The sequence below is a fragment of the Homo sapiens genome, chromosome 1 (assembly GCF_000001405.40).
Source record: "Homo sapiens chromosome 1, GRCh38.p14 Primary Assembly".
In the NCBI taxonomy this organism is placed as follows: Eukaryota; Metazoa; Chordata; class Mammalia; order Primates; family Hominidae; genus Homo; species Homo sapiens.
The window spans coordinates 234,177,024-234,191,272 of record NC_000001.11 but is presented as its reverse complement, the minus strand read 5'-3'; the positions used below and the strand labels follow the sequence as shown (position 1 = coordinate 234,191,272).

General features: G+C 42.1%; 1 protein-coding gene across 1 annotated transcript in view, besides 1 other annotated feature; it reads right to left on the bottom strand.

The window, feature by feature from the left end:
- The window catches only part of SLC35F3 (solute carrier family 35 member F3), a 419,836-nt gene that overhangs the window by 133,239 nt on the left and 272,348 nt on the right, over nucleotides 1–14,249 (bottom strand). The window lies entirely within an intron of this gene.
- Nucleotides 2,309–3,020: an enhancer, noted in NCBI's record as "NANOG-H3K27ac-H3K4me1 hESC enhancer chr1:234323999-234324710 (GRCh37/hg19 assembly coordinates)". NCBI's record gives its function as "activates a minimal SCP1, AML or CMV promoter by ChIP-STARR-seq in primed H9 embryonic stem cells {active_cell/tissue: H9 hESC(primed)}" and the evidence as "EXISTENCE:reporter gene assay evidence [ECO:0000049][PMID:30033119]".

Genomic DNA, 14,249 nt, shown 5'->3' with positions numbered 1-14,249 from the left:
GTTTTATTCCACTGTGGTCTGAGAGAGTACTTGACATAATTTCAGTTTTCTTAAATTTATTGAGACTTGTTTTGTGGCAATCATATGGTCTATCTTAGAGAAAATTCCATGTGCTGATGTGTTGGAGGCTGCACAAGTATTTCTTATGATTAGGCATAATTGAAGCCTGTTAGCAATAATGAGAACCTGTGAGCAAGTAAACAGCTAACCAATCATTACCTCCTCCTTCTTGCTCTTGTTACCTAATATATAAGAAGGGCTGTGGAAGCTCGGCAGCTGCCTTTGCTCACTAGAAGCAGGGAGCCCTTTTCTTTTCTTTTTCTCTTCTCTTCTTCTTCCCCATGCTAGCCTTTCCTTAAAATAGTTACTTTTGTTTTTTGTTACCATTTCTACGTTCATCCCTTTGTTCAGTCTTGTAATGACGGTCTCAAGCAGTAACAGTAATAATTGCTGCAATGAGGGTCTCAAGTAGTAGCTGTGGCAGTCGGCCACACTGATGAAATAGAATGTATATTCTGTGGTTGTTGGGTAGAATATTCTGTAAAATATCCGTTAAGTCAAGTTGTTCTAGGGTATAGTTTAAACCCAGTATGTCTTTGTTGACTTTCTGTCTTGATGATTTGTCTAGTGCTGTCAGTGGAATATTGAAGTCCCCCACTATTATTGTGTTGCTATCCCATTTCTTATGTCTAGCAGTATTTGTTTTATAAATTTGGGAGCTCCAGCATTAGGTGCATGTATATTTAGGATGATTGTGACATTTTCCTGTTAAGGCCTTTCATCATTATATAATGTCCCTCTTTGTCTTTTTTAACTGCTGTTGCTTTCAAGTTTGTTTTGTCTGATATAAGAATAGCTATTCCTACTCACTTTTGGTGTCCATTTACATGTAATATCTTTTTCCACCCCTTTACCTTAAGTTTATGTGAGTCCTTATGTGTTAGGTGAGTCTCTTAAAGGTAGCAGACACTTAGTTGGTGAATTCTTATCCATTCTGCAATTCTGTATTTTTTAAGCAGAGCATTTAGACCATTTACATTCAATGTTAGTATTGAGATGTGAGGTACTATTCAATTCATCATGCTATTTGTTGCTTGAATACCTCGGTTTTTTTGTGTGTGTTTTTGTTGTATAGATCCCGTGAGACCCATGCTTTAAAGAGGTTCTGTTTTGGTGTGTTTCCAGGATTTGTTTCAAGATTTAGAGCTCCTTTTAGCAGTTCTTGTAGTGCTGGCTTGGTAGTGATGAATTCTCTTAGTGTGTGTTTGTCTGAAAAAGACTATCTTTCCTTCATTTATGAAGCTTAGTTTCACTGGGTACAAAATTCTTGGCTGATAATTGTTTTGTTTAAGGAGGCTGAATATAGGGCCCCAATCCCTTCTAGCTTGTATGGTTTCTGTTGAGAAATCTGCTGTTAATCTGATAGGTTTTCCTTTATAGGTATCTGATGCTTTTGCCTTACAGCTCTTACGATTCTTTCCTTTGTCTTGACTTTGGATAACTTGATAACTATGTGCCTAGGTGAGGATCTTTTTGTGATGAATTTCCCAGGTGTTCTTTGAGCTTCTTGTATTTGGATGTCTAGCTCTCTAGCAAGGCTGAGGAAGTTCTCCTTAATTATTCCCCCAAATATGTCTTCCAAACTTCTAGATTTCTCTTCTTCCTCAGGAATGCCAATTCTTAGGTTTGGTAATTTAACATAACCCCAGACTTCTCGGAGGCTTTGTTAATTTTTTAAAAATTCTTTTTTTTTTTTTGTCTGTGTTGGATTGAGTTATTTCAAAACCTTGTCTTCGAGCTCTGAAGTTCGTTCTTCTGCTTGTTTGATTCTATTGCTGAGACTTTCCAGTACATCTTGCATTTCTCTAAGTGTGTCCTTTATTTCCTGAAGTTGTGACTATTTTTTATTTATGCTATCTATCTCACTGAAGATTTCTCCCTTTATATCTCGTATATTTTTAAAAATTTCCTTAAGTCGGACTTCACCTTTCTCTGGTACCTCCTTGATTAGCTTAATAATCAACCTTCTGAATTCTTGTTCTGGCAATTCAAGCATTTCTTGGTTTGGATTTGTTGCTGGTGAGCTAGTGTTTTTTTTCTTTTTCTTTTTTGAGGTGTTAAAGAACCTTGTTTTGTCATATTGCCAGAATTATTTTTCTGGTTCCTTCTCATTTGGGTAGGCTATGTCAGAGGGAAGATCTGGGGCTCAAGGCTGCTGTTCAGATTCTTTTGTCCCATGGGGTGCTCCCTTGGATGTAGTACTCTCCTCTCCCCCTTTTCCTAGGGATGTGGCTTCCTGAGAGCCGAACGGTAGTAATTGTTATTTCTCTTCTGGATCTAGCCACCCAGATGGGCTACCAGGCTCTGGGCTGGTACTAGGAGATGTCTGCATAGAGTCCTGTGATATAAACTATCTTTAGGTCTCTCAGCCATGGATACCAGCACTTGCTCCAGTGGCGGTGGCAGGGGAGTGAAATGGACTCTGGGAGGGTCCTTAATTATATTATTGTTGTTTATTGTAGTTCTGTGCTGGTTGCCCTCCTGCCAGGAGGTGGCGCTTTCGAGAGAGCATCAGCTGTGGTAGTAAAGGGAGGGTCAGGTGGTGGGCAGAGCCCTAGAACTCCCAAGAGAATATGCCCTTTGTTTTCAGCTACCAGGGTGAGTAGGGAAGGACCATCAGGTGGGGGCACGGCTAGGCATGTCTGAGCTCAGACTCTCCTTGGGAGGGGCTTGCTGTGGCTGCTGTGGGGAATGGGGGTGTGGTTCCAGGTCAATAGAATTGTGTTCCCAAGAGGATTATGGCTGCCTGTGCTGTGTCATGCAGGTTGTCAGGAAGTCGGGGAAAGCTGGCAGTTACAGGCCTCATCCAGCTCCCGCACAACCCAAAAGGCCAGTCTCATTTCCACCATGCCCCCTGCCCCCCACCTCACCAGCACTGAGTCTGTTTCCAGGCAGTGGGTGAACAGGGCTCAGAACTTGCACCAGGCTACCAGCCTCCAGGCTGAGAAAGCAAGCAGGACTTTTTTTTTTTTTTTGAGGCGGAGTTTCGCTCTTGTTGCCCAGGCTGGAGTGCAGTGGCCCGATCTTGGCTCACCGCAACCTCCGCCTCCCGGGTTCAAGCGATTCTCCTGCCTCAGCCTACCAAGTAGCTGGGATTACAGGCATGTGCCACCATGCCCAGCTAATTTTTTGTATTTTTAGTAGAGACGGGGTTTCACTGTGTTAGCCAGGATGGTCTCGATCTCCTGACTTCGTGATCCGCCCGCCTCGGCCTCCCAAAGTGCTGGGATTACAGGCGTTGAGAAACCGCGCCTGGCCTTTCATGCCTCCCCACCTGTTGAGTCTGCACATCAGATTCATGCCCTACCCGGAGTTCTGGCTAGGAAACTCTGGTTGTAATTGTTACAAAGTTCAGCTGGAGGTTTCCTTCTCCCTGTAGTCTTTTCCCAGTTCCTCTGGCAGCCCTCCCCAGGGACCCCTGTGAGACAAGTCAGAAATGGCTTACATGGGGACCCAGAGAGACTGCAGGGCTTTTCCTGCTGCTTCCTCTACCTCTGTAGTTCACTCAGGTGTCTACATTGTCTCAGCTCAAATCCTTCTCCCATGATCTGGACTTTCAGGTTCCCCAGTGAGGGCACGCGTTCATGGGCGGATGATCCTCCTTTCCCACTTTCACAGTTTGGGCATGCACAGTATTTGGGCTGTCTCCTGGGTCCTGCGGGAGTAATCCGCTTCCTTCAAAGGGTCTGTGGATTCTCTTGGCTTTCCTGGTATATTCCTGCAGTAGTTCTTGGAGCAGAAGTTCACAATGTGACTCCCGACATGCTGCTCTATCCATCCGAGTGAAAGCTGCAATTTAGTCCTGCCTCCTGTCCGCCATTTTCCCCCCTCTCCTTGGAGCTGCTCTTTCATACCTTCTGTGCCTGGGATCCTCTCTTCTTCCCCATTTGAGTCACTTCTTGAACAACTTTGCATTTGTGCAAGTGAGAATGGTGGGTTTTCCATTCGCCTAGGAGGTTGGGAACTTTAGGTATAGTATACAATTTACAAACCGCTGTGTGGTGGTTGGTTGCTTGTTCCTTTCACATCACCTGGGGCTGGCAGGCAGCAGCTGGTATCCCTAAAGAGGTGCAGATGGAAAGCATCAACATTGACAAGAGCCCATCATCAATTTCCCCTTCCTGATAAGGGAGTTTCTCTGTGATTCAGGCCAATTCCCCTGGATCCACAGAGCCAGGAGGTCTGGCTGTGCAAGGGAGGGCAGGAAAAGCTAGAGTACCTGAGATGGGGAAGGAGGAATGAGAGAGACACAGGATGCAGAGCCAGGTTAGAAAGCAAAGAGTGAGAGCACATCAGAACCAACCAAACAACAACAACCAAAAAGGAAGGAGCTCCACAGCCCTGAGCATTTCTGAAGTCTCAGGCTCACTATGGGGCCTCTTCCCATAGTATTCCATCAATATGTCAATAATACCTACCCTGCAGGTTGCTGTGAGGTTTAAAGGAGCTAATGTACATGGGATACCTGGTCCAGCATGTTGACTTTACGGAGTCCCTACAACTACCAGTGTTATTTAAAATAATTATTAAGATGGTGGACCCATGATCAGACCCAAGTTGTGTCAACAGAACAGACTATCTGAGATCCTGATGGCATGTGCTCCCTCTCCACCTACCACTTGACACTTCAGAGTCTCAGGGCACATGTCACATCTCACCTCAAATGAGGTGCCAGGTTGGCCTAGGGCAAGAATTCAGAAGGACTGGGAGGAGAGATCAGGGCTAGGAGACGGCACCCAGCTTGTCTCCTTCTCAGAGCAGAGGGGCAAAGTCAGCCCTTTGCTCAGGGTTTGCTACGCATCCACTGAAATTTGGCATCAGTCCTTCCGCTGAATCTCTGTTTGCTGGCCATGCCTTAAAAAACAAATACTGGTCAGTTGTTAAAGTTCACTTGGTCTTGACAGCCAAAGCCAGGAGCATTTGGCCAACATCATGAGTCTGACTCAGCAGAGCGGAGCCCACTGCATGCTTGAGCAATGCTTTGAAGCAAGTCATATCTCACCTCAAATGAGGTGCCAGGGATATTAATGCAATGAGACTGCTTAGTCAATCTGCGCCCTGCTGGGTGAATCACACTCCAAACACCTGTAGGTAAGAACATTCGCTGCAGCTGAGTATATTGCCAGCAACCCTTCCCTGGTGCCTGTTTCTATCTCTGTTAGTGGGGACCTCCTTAAAATGCTGCCTTCAGACAAACTGTCTACGCGGCACTCAGCCTATGGCAGTCAGTAGGTAAACTAGGAATCTTTTTACAGACAGTGAACGTTAAAACCAGCAGGACATCATGAGTTGCTCAAAGAGAGTGATGATAAAAAAATGGTTAGAATTTGAAACAAAAGGGGACAATCTCTTCTTCATACAGGGATAATAACAGAGCAAACATATTATAAAATCAATGCATTATTGGCACAGACCTGCAATTCAGCGGGTATCCAAATGGTGATGTGATGAATGGTAACACAGCACTGAATATCTTCAGAATCAATACCTTAGGTCCACATTTGAGGACTCCTTAAGTATCCCCTTCCAAGTCCCTGCCATCACCCCTGGGTATTCTGTAAAGCAGAGATGGCTTTTCAGAGTGGCCCCAGGGGAGGAGCAGTCAGCTCAGCATCCAGGACAGAGGTCACTGGAGTGCCCCAGCCATGTGAAGGCAGGCTAGCCAAGGGTTCCACCCCAGAAGAAGCATTAATGCCTTAGGTACTACACAAGCTACTAATTAATGAATAATAAATAGACCTTTTGGAATGGCCTAACTTAAAATTACAAAATGAAATGTATTTGCTAGTCTCCTAGAACATTCACTTTTCTGCAGGGCTGCCTCTTTCTACTCCTCGTAGTGAAGAGTCCAGCAAAGAGCTGAGCAATGCGATTGGCTTCAGACACATTTGGATATTCAGCGATCCTGGGACACATCTCGGGTGTCCCTTCTCACCTCTGGTGATGGTTTTGCCTCCCAAAGTGTCCTCTCCTTCTCCTTGGCTCTAATCCTACCCAACTTCCCAGAACCAGCGTACACCCCCACCCCAGAATGCCTTTCCTGGTCACCCCATCTTGTAGAGCTCCCTCCTCCTTCTGCAAGTATTTGTCTCATAATCATTCCTGTGTCTTTTACTCTCCCTCGATGTATTGTTTAGATTCATAACATTATGATTATGTAGCTTCCCTCCTGTTGCAGGGTTGCTTTTTCGCAGGGACTGTGCCCACCTTGGTGTTCTCCATAGAATGCTTCTCAGATGCAGTGTGTGGTACAAATGCCCAAGATCTTGTTAAAATGCAGTCTGACTCAGTGAGTCTCTCTGGGGGCAGGCCCTGAGATTCTGCATTTCTAATAAGCTGTCAGGTAATGTCAAAGCTGGTCTGTCTAGGGACCACACTTTGAGTACCAAGGGACTATCATATCTAGGACAATGTCACGTGTGTGGTAGATTTTCAATAAATAGTTATTCATCATGGGCTCTTTCACCTATTCTCCACCATGGCCTGCGGAGCTGAGTCCTCAGTTCCCTTTGAGGAACAAATATGTAGAGGCCCTGGAAACTGTGTGCTGGCCTTTGGTCATCCCAGAGCCAGGATGGGCTCCACACTCCTCCCACCTGCTCTGGCCTGCGGCAGCATTCCCACGTTCCTTCTATGAGAAAAACAACATGCATCAGGCACTATGGGACGGCGCTGACAAAAAAGACAAAATGTCAGGTCTCATAGCCTCGAAAATTTCCTGCCCATTAAATAAGCATTCCTTGGGTGGTTTTCTCTATCACTGCTAAATATTAAAGTCATAGGTCTCACAGTGTGTAGGCTCAAAACATGCTTCATTCCAGAAGCCACTGTTTTGTCAACTTTACAAACCACATAAAATAGTTTGAATACTGAAAACATCAAGCTTACACAGAGAAATGATATTTTGCTATGGGACTGAATATTTTTAATAAGATCCTATTTCCTGGGGAAAGAAGAAAAGTCGCAATGTAAGCAATAGCAGCAAGGAAGATCATTATGGTTCCTAAGTAATCCAACTACTGATGATAAATGACATAGCAACATGTGCATTTAGGTTTTTTGTTTTTTTTTTTTAAAAAAACTGTGTTCCATGCTAGTAAAGAATTAACTAGCAAAGAACAATATCCTTAAAACAGCTATACATATTTTCAATACATCTAACACATAGCCTACAAAGTAACCAATGTGAATTTGAACTGAGTGCTCCTTTTTTTGTTATAGCTGATAGGTCTCTTAAGATCTCAATGAGTGTAGGTTAACAGATAAATAGAATAAATTGTAAACTGCTCTGCTGGTGTCTAGCACATAGCAGGTATTCAACAAAGGAATGTTGTTAAACAAAAAATGAATGAATGGAGAGAGGAAGACAGGGGTAGGCACCCTTATGGCTTTGTGAATGGGTCCACAGCGTGGTATTTTGTACTTGAACCAGAAGTCGTATGAAAATGAGATACGAACATTTACAGGGTCATAGTCACCATTATTAAATAATGGGAGCCACACTGTACAGCTTGTCCTTAACTGACAAAAGATAAACTCTGCATACAGGCATTGATGACATATGGATATAGAGCTACCAAGGACTCAGTCGACCAGGCCAGCGACACAGTATCGTTTAATGAAAAAGGATACAGCCTGCTACGTATTTATGCATATACACTCACTGAAGGTCTATTTCATGTCAAGTCCTGAGTACCTTAGGTTTTCACAATGACAAAATAAGAATTCATTTGCTTTAAAAAATTGGAATACATCACTCTGAAATATTTACATACGTAAAAAACAACCATATGCATTTTCTTAAATGGTTTCTTTCAAAATCCAGAAAAAAATCAGAAAAAAACTTATAAAGATGATTCTATAAAAATAAGAACTTTTGTATCATTAAGAAAATCTGGCCAGGTGCAGTGGCTCACGCGTGTAGTCCCAGCACTTTGAAGGCTGAGGTGGGCAGATCACTTAAGGTCAAGAGTTCGAGACCAGCCTGGCCAATATGGTGAAACCCTGCCTCTACAAAAAAATACAAGAATTAGCTGGGTGTGGTGGTGTGCATCTGTAATCTCAGTTACTCAGGAGGCTGAGGCATGAGAATTGCTTGAATCTGCAAGGTGGAGGTTGCAGTGAGCTGAGATTGTGCCACTGCACTCTAGCCTGGGTGACAGAGTGAGACTCCATCTCAAAAACAAACAAACAAAAAGTCTTAAGCAAAGTAAAAAGGCAAATAAAATTTTAAAAATGTAAATTATAACTCAAAGGATTAATATCCCTAATATAGAAAAGATTAGAAAAATAGAGAAACAAAAGACCAATGATTGTATAGAAAATGGACTAGAGATATGGTCAGAGTTCACAGGAAGAGAAATGCAAATAGCACTTCACTATATGCTCAATCTCATTCATAAGAGAAAAATGAAATTTAAAACTGCACTAATATGATTTCTCATTTATCAAATTGGAAAAAATCCCAAAGTTTGACAATATCATGTAATTAGCAATGCTGTGGGGAAATGGGCACTGTCGGTCATTGCTGGTGGGAATATAAAATGGTACAACCCCTATAAAGAGGAATTTGGCATTGTCCAGAAAAATGATGTATAAATTTACCTTTTGCTCCAATTATCCTACTTCTGGCAATCGATCTCAAGAAAGATACCCAAAGATGTATGCACAGGATATGTATTACATGCAGCACAAATACCCACCAATAGGAGAAGGTGAACAAACCAGGACACGGCCAGACAATGGAGCTGAAGAAAGCAACAGCACTCCTAGAGCCCAGATCAGGGTCTCTCAATACTGTTTCTTACTGAAAGACACAGGGCTCCTTAAAAAATGGCTAATTCCAGGTATGGAGTAATAAATGTGCAAGATGGATTCCAGAACATGTTGTCATACAAGAGATCAATCAATCAATCAATCAATCTAGCTCTCAAAGAGTCAGGTCAAAAGGAAGTGATCTAACTTTTAGAAGCTTGCTCTGGCCAATGAAGGGACAATTGGAATATCATTAAGGATAATAACTGTAATGGACTTGAACACACAGAACATGCATGAATCCCTGAATTTATAAAAATATTTGGAAAAAACCTTACTGGTTAACTTTAGGAGATATTAGAAATCCAACTTACTGTTTTTAAATCAGTTAAAAAAAGGAAAAAATTAATTCCTTTCGCCATTCGTATATGAAATGTACTTTAGGGAAATCAAATCATTGATGAGAGGAAGCTTCTCTTTACAGAAGTTTTCCAGTTAGTAAAAAGAAGATGATAGAATATAACTACTGGACAATCTCTGATCAATTAATGAATTTAGGCAGTTCATAAATAGTTGCTATTGATAAACAGATAACCAGACAATATGTATTTTGTGATGAAAATACACAGAACCACATGTGAATTATCCTAAAAAAGAAACCAAAAACAAAGAAATAAAGAAAAAACCAGAATAAGGTCACAATGCAAGCAAACTTTTATCTAATTACATCTAATTATCAACTTACAGGAAATACGGAGGACAAAATAACATGGTAAATGACACCACAGAGATGCCATCAGCAACATTCACACTGTGGAAAATTCTCAAGACAAACTGCTCTCTTCAACAAATGAGTTAGAAGAGGCAAGGAAAAAATGGAGGAGGCACCTATAGATTAAAAGATATTTTAGAGACCTGTCAACTAATTGCAACATGTGGATATGGACCTTATTTAGATCCTGATGCAAACAAACTATTTAAAAATGGATTTCTGAGATAACTGGAGGGATCAAACAGTGGATAATTTCTAATACTGTGATAACATTTTAAAAAAGAGTGCTTATTCTTTTTTCTCTCTTTTTTCTTTTCTTTTTCTTTCTTTCTTTTTTTTTTTTTTTTTCTTGAGACAGAGTCTCACTCCGTCACCCAGACTGGAGTGCAGTGACACAATCTCGACTCACTGCAACCTCCACCTCCTGGATTCAAGTGATTCTTGTGCCTCAGTCTCCCAAGTAGCTGGAATTACAGGAACATGCCACCATGTTGGCTAATTTATTGTATTTTTTTTTGTAGACAGAGGATTTTGCCATGTTGGCCAGGCTGGTCTCCAACTCCTGACTGCAAGTGATCCACCCATCTCAGGTTCCCAAAGTGCTGGATTACAATCCAGCCACCGCGCCTGGCCATTTTTAAGAAATACATACATTTAGAAATGCCTCAAAAGAAATTATATGATGTCTGGATTTTCTTCAAATCAATCTGATGGGAAGAGGGAACGGATGGTGGTATAGATGAAATGAGATTGGTCTTGAGTTGCTAATTGTTGAAACTGGGTGATGGATACATGGCAGTTCATTGTACGATTTCCACTTTGTAAATGTTGAATTTTTGATAATAAAAAGCTAAGACAAAATTAAATTAATAAAAATTAAATAAAGGAATAGGAATCTCCTGTATCTTCCCTCCTTCCCTGCCTGGGTATGTGATGACTTTTATTTCTGGAACACTTTACTCCAAGGTTCCTCTAAACGTTATGGGATTCAAATCCACTCTCAGGTGCCTTTGCAGTAGGAGGTGGCCAATGAGGGAAATAGGAAGAGAGGTGAATGAAGTCCCCAAGACTACAACTTTAAATAGAGAGTGACCTGACAATTCTAAATTTAGCGACATGATCTCTCCTAACCAGATGCCTGGAGTTAGATAAAGGTGTGCATGTGTGTGTTCTAAAGTCCTAGTGGGACATGAGCATCTTCCTTGAGTTGCTAGCTAGGTCTCACTTAGCAGGGAGGAGTGTGCTCTCAGCTGCATTCACCATGCAGAAGTGATGTGTTTCCTTTACCTGAGCCCCTCCTTCTGAAGAAAGGGATTTAAGAAAACCTGAAGGTCAAGGTGGCCATCCCTCTGTCCCTATTTCAGTAAGCTCTAAACTTGCACCCAAGGAAACACCATGGCATGCACTGACCCTAAGATCATTAGGCATCTTTGGGAAGATCTAATGTGAATGATTAGCCACATCCTTTTGAAAAAGAGGGAAGTCAGAGAGCCCCACAGTGGGGAGATGACCACCTGAGGCTCACCTGTAGAACCAACAAACCACCAGAACTGGAGCCACAGACTGTCATTTCTAGCCAGGTGCTGTTGTCACTCATCCCTATTTCCTAGAGGTTGGCAGTGGGTTACAAAAAATGTCTATGGAAATCAAGCCCAAACAATTCTAGGATCGAGCTATAGGAGTGATACTGCTGAACTGCTGAAATTTTCCTTCTGCAGTAAGTCTGACAGCCCAAGGTCATGGAACTTGAGAAGAGGATAGAGTCGGGGGAAAGGCTTTTTACCTTTTTTCTTTTGCTCTTTCGTTCTAAAGAAGCATACTGAATTCCACTGCTGAAGTCAAAGAGGCTTTTGCTGTCAGTCTCAGATAAATGCTTCATTCTGCTATGTGCTGCTCCACTCCCTTTATTCTCCTCTTTAATTGAACCTGAATTGCATGGTTATTTTTAACATAATTGGTAAAAATTCAAGAGAGTTAATGCCATGTCCTTGGCTCATAAAACCCTTTCTTTTCCTTAGATGTGTTTCAACTCAGTGCTGATGCCAGGTATTAACTGTAGGATGACTATAGTTAACAACGATATATTATTAGTTTCAAATAGCTAGGAGGAGGATAGTGAATGTTCCCAACACAAAGAAATGATAAATGTTTGAGATAATAAATATGCGAATTACCCTGGACTGATCACTATACCTTATGTGTATTGAAATAGAACCATGATGTACAATTATTGTACATCACGAATACATACAATTACTATTTGTCAACTAAGAAAATGTTTTTAGAGCCGGGTATTAGTGAAGGAATTTTTGAACATTTGAGCTAAACCTGCTCTCCCAAGTATTCAGATTTGTTTTATAAAACAAAGTCTCCCCTAATTGTCTTTGTCTTAAATGCTTTCCATTAGCTTCATCTATTAGCTTCACCAAGAAGATGGACCTTCAGCCAAATTGGAACATTCCCTAAAATTCTCTGTTCACTGAAACACTCGGCGTAGGAGTTCTATTCTACTCAGGTCTGAAATGATCGCAGCTGAGGAAGTTCTCAGCTCTGCAGAGTCAAGAAACAGAGTCGTGAAGGAGGCTCAGTGGAGGGAATGTGGGGCCTGGAGATGGAACACCTGGGGCTGCCTGTATCACACTGAGCCATCACACACCTCTCTGTGCACGTTTCCATGTTCATTAAAAGGAGACGAGAGTCCAGCTTATGATATGTTGGAAAAGGAAAAACTGTGGAGATAGTATAAGATCAGTAATTTCCAGGGGTTGGGGGAAGGATTTTTAGGGCAATGAAATGGCTCTGATACTGTAATGATAGATACACATGTCATTAGACATTTGTCAAGATCCACAGAATGTACAACATCAAGACTGAACCATAATGTAAACTAGGAGCTCTGGGTGGTGATGATGTGTCAGTATGGGTTCATGAATGGTAGCAAACGCAGCACACCAATGGGGGATGCTGACAGTGTGGCAGGCTGTGGATGATGTACATCCACAGAATGTACATCATCAAGACTGAACCATAATGTAAACTAGGAGCTCTGGGTGGTGATGATGTGTCAGTATGGGTTCATGAATGGTAGCAAATGCAGCACACCACTGGGGGATGCTGACAGTGTGGCAGGCTGTGCGGGTATGGGAGCAAGGGGTTATATGGGAACTTTCTGCTTAGTTTTGCTGTGAACCTAAAACTGTTCTAAAAAGTCTTTTTTTTTTTTTTCCTTAGGAGAGGGTAGAAGCTTCCTGACCTATCTCCTAAGACTTCTGAGAAGGTCAATGAGAGAAACAATATAAATGGCAGCTGAAAATGGCCAGATAAATATATGTAGTGTGCTTATTCTTAAAAGTCATAGTATTCCAATTGACTGAAAGCATTGGAGGGATGAGTTCGGTGGCAAGGGGCATGGGCTAGGTGATCTCCTTACCACCTATGCCTCGGGACTTTATGTGAGAAGCAACATAGCCCAAGTATGTAGTGGGGTGATGGGCCCACTGGAATTTCCACAACTGAATGATAATAGTCTTTCAGAGGAGGCAACTGGGGCATGGTGCTCTTATTACTAAAATGCTATCATTGTTCTAACACTTTTATTCCTCTTTTGGAACAAGTTTCCAGAATCTCATTTTAGCATTCTCAAGTTATGAATTTGGTTTCTGGAAAGGGTTACAGTGTGATAAGTAAAGCATGCGCTCAAGTGATTATAAAGCAATGATGAGCTGATGTTCTTGTTTGGCGGTGAGAAATGATAGAGATGCCATCCAAGCAAAACTGTACTATGATTGCACAACAGAAAATTGTATTAAACCATGACATGCCCTGTACTATCTAAGATCAAATTGTTTTGATGTCAGCTTGTCAAGTTCCAATCCATATGTTCCAATATAAGACCACGGACTGAGTTAAGAGTAACTTCTCATGGACCCATGCATTTCAAAGACCATCTGAGTTCAGCAACTCACCTGATTTGCAAATTCTTACCAATCTCTGCTTCCTAACTTCTACCTTAAACAGTACCCCATAACTAACTGAGCCCCTACAACTCTGTAAGTTCCTCCTTTAGAGACACAGACTCTGACAAGTTAGTGCTCTCCCTGATCAGTAAGTGTAGTAAAGCCGTCTTTATGTGGTCTTTGCATTGGGGGCTTCGACACTGGGCAGGGTCCTAGCCTGTCCATGAACCCCTAGGCTTTTTCATGCTGTTTTCCCCCTTTCTGGCTTCCTCACTCACAAAGAGAGTTTAGCTCTGTTCTTGTGTACTTCTCTCATCCAGGTGGCTTGGAGGTGCTTCCCTCTTAGGAGTATTTATGGTTTAACCTGAAGCCTTAGAAGACCACTGTATTAGCCCATTTTTATGCTGCTGATAAAGACATACCTGACACTGGGCAATTTACAAAAGAAAGAGGTTTAATTGGACTCACAGTTCCACATGGCTGGGGAGGCCTCACAATCATGGTGGAAGGCAAGGAGGAGCAAGTCACATCTTACATGGATGGCAGCAGGCAAAGAGAGAGCACTTGTGCAGGGAAACTCCCATTTTTAAAACCATCAGATCTCATGAGACTCATTCACTCTCATGAGAACAGTGCAGGAAAGACCTACCTGCATGATTCACTCACCTCCCGCTGGGTTCCTCCCATGACATGTGGGAATTGTGGGA